The 8,716-nt window shown below is 43.4% G+C and overlaps 1 annotated feature.

Moving 5' to 3' along the window:
• Positions 7,937-8,444: an enhancer, noted in NCBI's record as "H3K4me1 hESC enhancer chr10:43522661-43523168 (GRCh37/hg19 assembly coordinates)". NCBI's record gives its function as "activates a minimal SCP1, AML or CMV promoter by ChIP-STARR-seq in primed H9 embryonic stem cells {active_cell/tissue: H9 hESC(primed)}" and the evidence as "EXISTENCE:reporter gene assay evidence [ECO:0000049][PMID:30033119]".

The following is an 8,716-nucleotide window of genomic DNA, read 5'->3' as shown; positions in this document are numbered from 1 at the left end:
TGGATTATAGGGGTGAATATATTCAGCTTTAGTAGATCCTGTCAACTGGGTTTCTGTTATAGTTGTACCAACTTACACTTCCACTGGCACTGTCTGAGAGTCCCAGCTGCTCCACATCCCTGTTAACACTTGGCATTGTCACCGTTTTTAGTTTTAGCTGTTGTATGGCTAAATGACTAGTAGTGACTAGTAGCGGCATCTCCTTATGGATTTAGTTTCCATTTCCTCCAATAACTCATTATTCTGAGCTTCATTTTGCTACTTTTGTTCCAGGTTAATTTCAGCCTTTTGTCTCTCCTTTCTTTCCATGTAACCTCAGTGGTTGCATCCTTTCCAAAGTGTGAACCTCAACTGTGTGACCTGCCTCCTTGGGTGCAGATCCCCAGTGATACATCTCTGCTCCTTGCTCATTCTACTCCTCACCTAAGGAGGAGCTGTGCCTTCCCTAAGCCCCTTGGTATTCAGCAGAGAAAAGTCTTTTTGTTTCATTACAGTCGTTTCATCTTTTCCTTAGCTCAGCTGGTTTCCTCATCCGAGTCAGTCATCTAATTCATTTTTATCTTTTACTTCAAAAGCTGTTTAAAAAATTGTGGTAAATACACATAACATAAAATAACCATTTTGACTATTTGTAAGTGTACAGTTCAATGGCATTAAGTACATTATTCATATTGTTGTACAACCATCACCATCATTCAGCTCTGAATATTTTCATCTTCCCAAACTGATACTCTATACTCATTAAACAACAACTCCTCATTCTCCCCCCTGCCAGCCCCTGGCGACCACCATTCTATTTTCTCTCTGTGGATTTGACTACTCTAGGCACCTCATGTAAATGGAATTGTGCGATATTTGTCTTTTTGTGTCTTGCTTATTTCACTTAGCATAATGTCTTCAAGTTTTATCCTTGTTGTGGCATGTATCATAATTTACTTCTTTTTTAAGGCTGAATAATATTCCATCATACAGATATACCACACTTCGTGTATCCATTCATCTATTAGTGAACCCTACGGTTGCTTTCACCTTTTGATTATTGGGAATAACACTGATATGAGTATAGGTGTATAAAAACCTGATGAAGTCCTTGCTTTTAATTCTTTTGAGTATATACCCAGAAGCAGAATTGCTGGATCATATGGTAATTCTTGGAGAAGGTGGGGGGAATTGCTATATTGTTTTCTACAGCAGCTGTACCATTTTACATCCCAATCCAAATTCTTGACAACATTTTTTATTTTCATTTTTGCTTTTTAAATAGTAGCCAACCTAATGAGTATGAGATAGTATCTCACTGTGGTTTTTGATTTGCATTTTCCTAATGATTAGTGGTGTTGGGCATAGTAACCACAAATAAAATATCTATAGAATACATATAGAAGGAAATAAGAAGGTATTCAAAAGATGTCAATACAAAAAGTCAGCTATGCACAAAGGAAGGCAGGAAGGGAGGAAATGAAGGACAAAAAAGCTATAAGACATACAGAAAACAAACTACTAAACAGCAATAGTAAGTCCTTCTTTATTATTAATTACATTAATTAAATGTAAATGTATTAACTTCCCCCATTAAAAGACCTAGAATGGCAGAATGGATTAAAAGAAAAACTATGATCCAACTGTATACTGTCTACAATGCACTAGATTTAAGGGCACAGGACATGTGTGCAGGTTGACAGTAAAATAATGGGAAAAAATTGCATGCAAATATTAACTAAAAGGAGCAAGCGTGATTATATTAATGTCAGATAAGATATACTTTAAGCTTATAACTGTTACAAGAGACAAAGATGGGCATTACGTAATGATAGAAGGGTCAATTCAACAAAAAGATATAACAATTATAAATATATATGTGCCATACATCAGGGCTGCCTTCTCATTTTTTTTGTATGTATTCCATAGATATTTTCTTTACTATTACTATGTGAATTACATAAAACTCCTAAAGTTATTACAATCTACTTTAAACTGATAACAAATGAACTTCAATTGAATATAAAAGCTCTACAACCTTCTGGCTCTTCCCATTTTATGTTATTGAGGTATGTCGCAAATTACATCTTTATATATGTTCCCATTAACATAGATCCATAATTATTTTATATGCCTTTGTCTTATAAACTCTATAAAATAATAAAATGTGGCATTACAAACCAAAATGATAATAATACTGGTTTTTATATTTGTCTATGTATTTAGCTTTATTGCATAACTTTATATTTTTGTATGGCTTTGAGTTACTATTTAGCATCCTTTAATTTCAACTTAAATAATTCCTTTTAATATTTTTTGTAGGGTAAGTCTAGTGGTAACGAGCTCCCTCAGCTTTTGTTTATCTGAGAATATCTTAATTTCTTCCTCATTTTAAAAGGACAGTTGTGCTAGGTATAGAATGTTCAGTTGACAGCTTTTTCTTTCTTTCAGCACTTTAAATATATCACTGCATTGCTTTCTGGTCTGCAGGGCTTCTTCTAGGAAAATCATTGCTAATCTTACTGTGGCTCTCTTGTATTTGGTGAGTCACTTTTCTCTTGATGCTTTCAAGACTATCCCTTTGACATTGTCTTTCAAAGGTTTGATTATAATGTGGCTTGATTATAGTGTGTCTTTCTGTGGGCTTGTTTGGGCTTATCCTAATGGAATTTGTTGAACTTCTTGTATTTTTATATCAATTTCTTTGGATATAAAAGTTTGGCAAGTTTTTGGCTGTTACTTTTTCAAGTAAACTCTTTTACCCTTTTCCCTCTCTCCTCATTCTGAGACTCCTATTATGCATATATTGGTTGGCTTTATGGTGTCCTATAAATCTCTTAGGCTCTGTTTACTTTTCTTCGTTCTTTTTCCTTTTTGCTCCTCAGACTAGTGTTAAGTGACCTGTCTTCAAGTCCCTACCTGTTTAAGTTTGCTGTTGAACCCCTCTAGTGAATTTTCCAATTCATTATTGCATTTTTCAGCTCTAGAATTTCTGTTTGGTTCTTTATCATTTCTATCTTTTTGTTAATATTATCATTTTGATTCTATATAAATTTCTGGATTCTTTTCATTTCTTTATCTGTGTTTTCTTTAGCTCTTTGAGGATATTTATAGAATTGTTTTGAATTATTTGTCTAGTATGTGCAATGCCCATGTTTCTTCAGAGACAGTTTCTGCCATTTTATTTTGTTCCTTCGAATGAGCTATGTTTTCTTGTTTCTTTGTATGCCTTATAATTTTTTATTGTTGAAAATTGGGCATTTGGAAAGCAGTCACCTCTTTCTGTCTTTTCAGACTGACTCTTTACCAGGGCAATCATTTCCTGCTTTGCTGGGTGTGCTCTGAGACTTAAGATCAGCCAGATGTGAAAGTTTCTCAGGTATTTTTTAAGCATGCATCTTGCCTGTGCCTGTGTGTGTGCTTCTGCACCCCCACCCCCAATTTTGTCTATATACACAGTGGCTTTTGAATGTCTTAATTTTCCAAAGAGTCTCACCCTAGTTTTCCTTGGGACCTTAGATGTTCTATTGTATGTCTCCACCTGTAATCTTTTACCCCAGGTGTCTATGGGTCTGTAGTCCCCATGAAACCTTTATGGGCAATGCCCATTGTTTTTTCCCTGCTTGAGTCCTGAGTTTTGCCACTTTTCCCTGCCTGAGATGTGATTTAGGCATGGAAGAGAGCAGTTCTTCAGGCAGCCCCTACACAGGTTAGAACATTGCAACTAGGCCGGGCGTGGCGGCTCATGCCTGTAATCCCAGCACTTTGGAAGGCCAAAGCAGGCGGATCACAACGTCAGGACATTGAGACCATCCTGGCTAACACGGTGAAACCCCATCTCTACTAAAAATACAAAAAAAAAAAATTAGCTGGGCATGGTGGCGGGCGCCTGTAGTCCCAACTACTCGGGAGGCTGAGGCAGGAGGATGGCGTGAACCTGGGAGGTGGAGCTTGCCGTGAGCCGAGATTGCACCACTGCACTCCAGCCTGGGCTACAGAGAGAGACTCTGTTTCAAAAAAAAAAAAAAAAAAAAAAAGAACATCGCAACTAAGATCCGTTCTGCTCCCTCCAGTTTGATGGAGGAAACTGAGAATTGGGCTGTGGCCTCCTGCAGACCAAGGCTGTGCTGTGCCAAGAAGGGAGTGAGGCAAGAGTGTGTAAAAATGCCAGAAAACTTCCTACTCTTGTGAATATGGCTATTGTGGACCTTTTTCTGCTCTCCAAAGTGCCTATAAAGTTTTAAATACCCAGTTTCTGGCTGTTTTTTGGTGTTTCTATGGGGGAATGAAGGCTTGGAGCTTCCTACTCTGCCGTTTTGGCAATGTCACTACTCCTAAGAGCTATTTTTAAATTTATATTTTATTGGGAACGTCAAATGGATGGTTTCTGAGATTTATTTCTGCTGTGGTTTAAATGATTGTGTCCTCTCCACAATTCATATTAAAATTAAATCCCCAATGCCATAGTATTGGGAGGTGATTCAGTCATAAGGGCTCTGCCCTCATGAGTGGGATTAAATGCTCTTATAAGAGGGCTTGACAGACCAAAATAGTATAATTGGATTGTTTAAAACACAAAGGATAAATGCTTGAGGTGATGGATACTCTATTTACCCCTTGATATGATTATTACATATTGCATGCCTATATCAAAATATCTCATTGAACCCATAAATATATATAGCTACTATGTATATACACCTATTATGTACCTATAAAACTTAAAAATAAAAAAAAAGAGCTTGATGGAAGGATTTCACCCTTTTTGCTCTTCGGCCTTCTGCCATGTGAAGACACAGCACTCAAGAAGCCATCTTAGAAGCAGAGAACAGCCCTTACCAGACAGCCAAACCTGCTGATGCCTTGAGCTTGGACTTCCCAGCCTCCAGAACTGTGAAAAAATTCTGTTCTTTATAAATTACCCAGGCCATGATGTTGTTATAACAGCACAAATGGACTAAGACAATTTCTGTTTCCTTTGGTAAATCATTTTCATCACTCTTCATCTATCTTTTGAGAAGTGTGTGTTTTTATTTTTCTTTGCAAAGCCTTTCTCTTTCTCATATCTGCTGTTTCCATTGACCTAGCATTGAATTGCAAGGTCTCTATGAAAGACTGGCATTTGCCTCAAACAAGTATGGCATTTCTTTACATCATTGCTTCTCCTTGCTGTCCACACAAATAACAACAGAATCCTCTGCTAAGGGCCTAAGGGCCTCACAATCAACTCAGAGCCCAAGATGGAGGAGATGGTTCTGGTCAGTTCCAACAGGGTGTTTTTTCTCTGTACAGGGGAATTTCTTCCTTGAACCTATTTTTCTTATTAATTTTCTACTTGGACTGGTCCATCCCTTGTCTGTCTAGCCTGTTTCCTGGACTACTGCGCACCCCTCAGGAAAAGTATTGCCCTGGCCCCCCTGCCCTGGTCTGCTTTTGAGACATGCTGACCCTCAGTGCTAAGAGGTTCCATATGTCATGCCCTCATCATCTGCACCATCCTCTATAGCTGGGTTATTCCTGGGCCTTTCTCAGGCCCCTGCAGTTTCTTCCCCCATGCCTGTACTTGCTCAGCAAGGAGGGTTGCAAGTTTCCTTCAGGCTGTTTTTTGCCTGCACTGTAACTTATGGAAATGGCTCTGCGTGTGGCGTGTAAATGGTGCCCTGATGGATTTCCAAAATGGATACAGGTTTCTCCTTCCTTTTCTATTTCTGAAGTCATTTGGGCTAGCATTTGGGAGAGGCAGTTGGATGCCCATGCTCAAGTATTCTGTTACCTGAATGCCCATTAGATATTTCAGACTGAAGATTGCCATGATGCCACTTCTGTTTTGCACTTAAGTTGGGAGGAAATTGCAGAGGGTGAGACTGGAGGCAGGGAATCAATGTGAGGGCTCATGAGGGCCTAAACTGGGCAGCACAGTGAGGGGGCAGGAGGTGGGTGAAGAGCCTGCTCATTAGAGGGATTATGGGAGTAAAGTGAATGGGGCTTAATTGTATGGAGTGTGAGGGAGAGGGAGGGGTCAAGGAGCCCAACTCCAGCCTAGGCGGACACAGGGGTTAAGGCTGTGGTTTGTGCCATCACAACAGTGAGAAGGAGCTGCTCTCATAGCTTCTAGCAAGCACTCAACGTGGACAGAAAAAGGTTCCAGCGAACCAGCTTCAGGCTGCCCCCTCAAATGGGCTGTGACTCTGAATTTGAAGAATTCCAAGGAGCCCATTGACATCTGCAAGTCAGAGCTGCAGTGAAGAGTAGGCTGGGTTGAACTTTGTGGGGTCTGCATCCCTCACCCTCACCTCCACCCTGAGGAGCTGGCCATGGCGTCTGTCACAGTAGGCCCCAGGGAGTGAGGCTCAGCGTTGCCACTCCTGCTGGGGAAAGCTTGAAAGGATGGGAATGCAATCACTCCCACAGTCACAGACAGACAGCTTTCATCGTGAGATCATGTTCATGCCTTGTGACCCCAGCACGTGGCTGGATGGAGACTGCAGTGGATGCTACCAGAGTCCAACCCGGGCGGAGGCCCTGCTGGGTCTAGCTGCATCCAACTGTCCTGGCTTGGCCCCTGGCTGGCTCTGCCCCCTAGAACATTTCTTGGCTTACCCTCGCTCATTATTCCCTTCATACCCATGCTCCTGCAAGGTCCTCTGCACACTGTGCCTGTCCGGAGCCAGAGGCACTACCCATGACCACATCCTCCATGACGTCCTCTCCTCTGATGGCCTTGCAAGAAGTAAACTCTGATCTCAGACAGCGTCTCATCTACACTCCTGTGCATCTCAGAGCAGCGTCTTCAGACGTATACTTGAGAAGTATCTGTTAGTATATTCAAGTTCAGTAAGTAGTCATAATCACCTTCAGAAAAACAAAGTTGCCCTAATGAGGTAGGAAAAATAGACAGGTCAGTGGAGCACTAGCAGATGTGCTACCAGATAAAGCCAGCAGGCTGTGAGCTCTGGGAGAAGATGCATGTTACTGTCTCACACACCTAAGCAGCAAACCAACAGCCACGTGGGTTAGCACTGAGAAAGGCCTGAGTGAAGCCAGACAAGGTGTGGATGGTGCGCCTGATCCAGGGGAAGGTGGCACGGGAGGCTGCCTGGGGGTCAGACCCATGGAGTCTGGCTTGTCTGAATGTATAGACCCAAGCATTGGTGTTTGAGACTTCTGGGGCACTCAGACCCCACAGGTCATTGGAACAGCACTATGAGTGGATCCAAGCCCTGCACTCTTCCTGCAGGGCCTGTGACTTGAACTAGGCAGTGTCGCTGTGTCGGGCCATGCCTCCAACTGGCACCTTCTCTGTCCTTTCTGCTGCCAAGGAGGGTGCCAGGTCCTGGCCTTCCATGGCCCCAGGTGGCCTGTGAGTCGCTCTGTGCTAGGCCAGGCTCTGAGCCCTGGGGTTGTGGAGCCTGTAGATTTGGGGCTGCCTTCTGGGACCACTGCACATGCATGTGTGCATGCGTGCAGTACATGCAGGACTGCAGAGGAGTGTCTGCAGAGGAAGAGGTGGCGCTTGAACGAAAAACAAGAATCCTTTTGCCAGAGCCTGAGCTGATTCCTGGCCTCAGATGGCACCAAGGAGCAGTGGGGGCCTGAGTGCCCTGGGGACAGCACCCATAGGGTTCTGTGCTTCTCAAAAGGGAAGAAGGGATAGGGCAGTGCTGTACCACTAACCCATTCCAGGAAGGAAGGGCTTTCTGAGCATTTAGTGTTCATATAATAATGTTCTTCCCATTTTCCAGATAGAGAGAGTTGTGGCTTACAGAGCAGAGAAACTGCCTGAGGTCACACGGAGAGTCCCAGAGTCACTGAGCTCAGCCACTTTCCTGCTGTGCTGGCAGCTTCACATGCCTCCCGATAGGTCTGGGGGACTGCCCTCAGGCCCGGGCCTCAGCTCTAGAGGTGCCCCTGGAGCAGGTTTGGCCAGGACAAGCCAGCTGGGCACAAGGCCAGCCTGGATGGGCATAATTTGGCCCAGGGGACTGGGCCCTGACCCAGAGGGAGGCCACTCAGAGAAAGCCCAACACAGGCATTGTGGCAGCTTGGTGGGGTGCTGTGTGCAGAGAAGGTGATGGCCACAGGGCTGGGGAGGTACTGGAGGATGGCAGGGGACCTCGAGTGCCCGCTGTAGGCTGGATGTGTATGGACATGTGTGTGCACATATGTATGCATATGTATGTGTGCACATGCACGCGTGCATGTGTTGTATGTGCATGAACAGGCACGCGTGTGGGGAGCATGACAGCAGGGCACTGCGCCTGTCAGAATCATATGCTATGACTCTCTGAACTGTTCTGAATGAAGAGACAGTATAAGGAAATGAGATGTGTGATCTGGAGTCGGATCCTGCATTAGGGAAAAATAAGAGCTCTGAAGGACACACGGGGTTGGGACAATGATGAAATTTGAATATGGACTGAATATTAGAAAAGAGTACTGCATCATGGTTAAATTTCCTGATTTTGATTATGATGCTGTGTCCCGAAAGAGAAAGTCCTTGTCTTGTTAACAATGGGCGAACCTAAGTACAGGGCCCACGGGAATCCATTGTCCTGTTCTTGCAACTCCTCTGTAGGTGTGATGTTATTTTCAAATAAAAAGTTAGAAAGGCCAAGTGCCTGTTATAGTCCTTACAATGCCATTCGTGTCATTTACAGAGAGGAAAGGGAGAGGAGCGAGATTGGTGGTGGTGGCCTGGCCGAGGACTCCCTCGGGGAGGAAGCAGGGGCCCCGCGCC

The sequence above is a fragment of the Homo sapiens genome, chromosome 10 (assembly GCF_000001405.40).
Source record: "Homo sapiens chromosome 10, GRCh38.p14 Primary Assembly".
In the NCBI taxonomy this organism is placed as follows: domain Eukaryota; kingdom Metazoa; phylum Chordata; class Mammalia; order Primates; family Hominidae; genus Homo; species Homo sapiens.
Note: the sequence above shows the minus strand (reverse complement) of the source record. Positions and strands in the feature narration are given on the sequence as shown.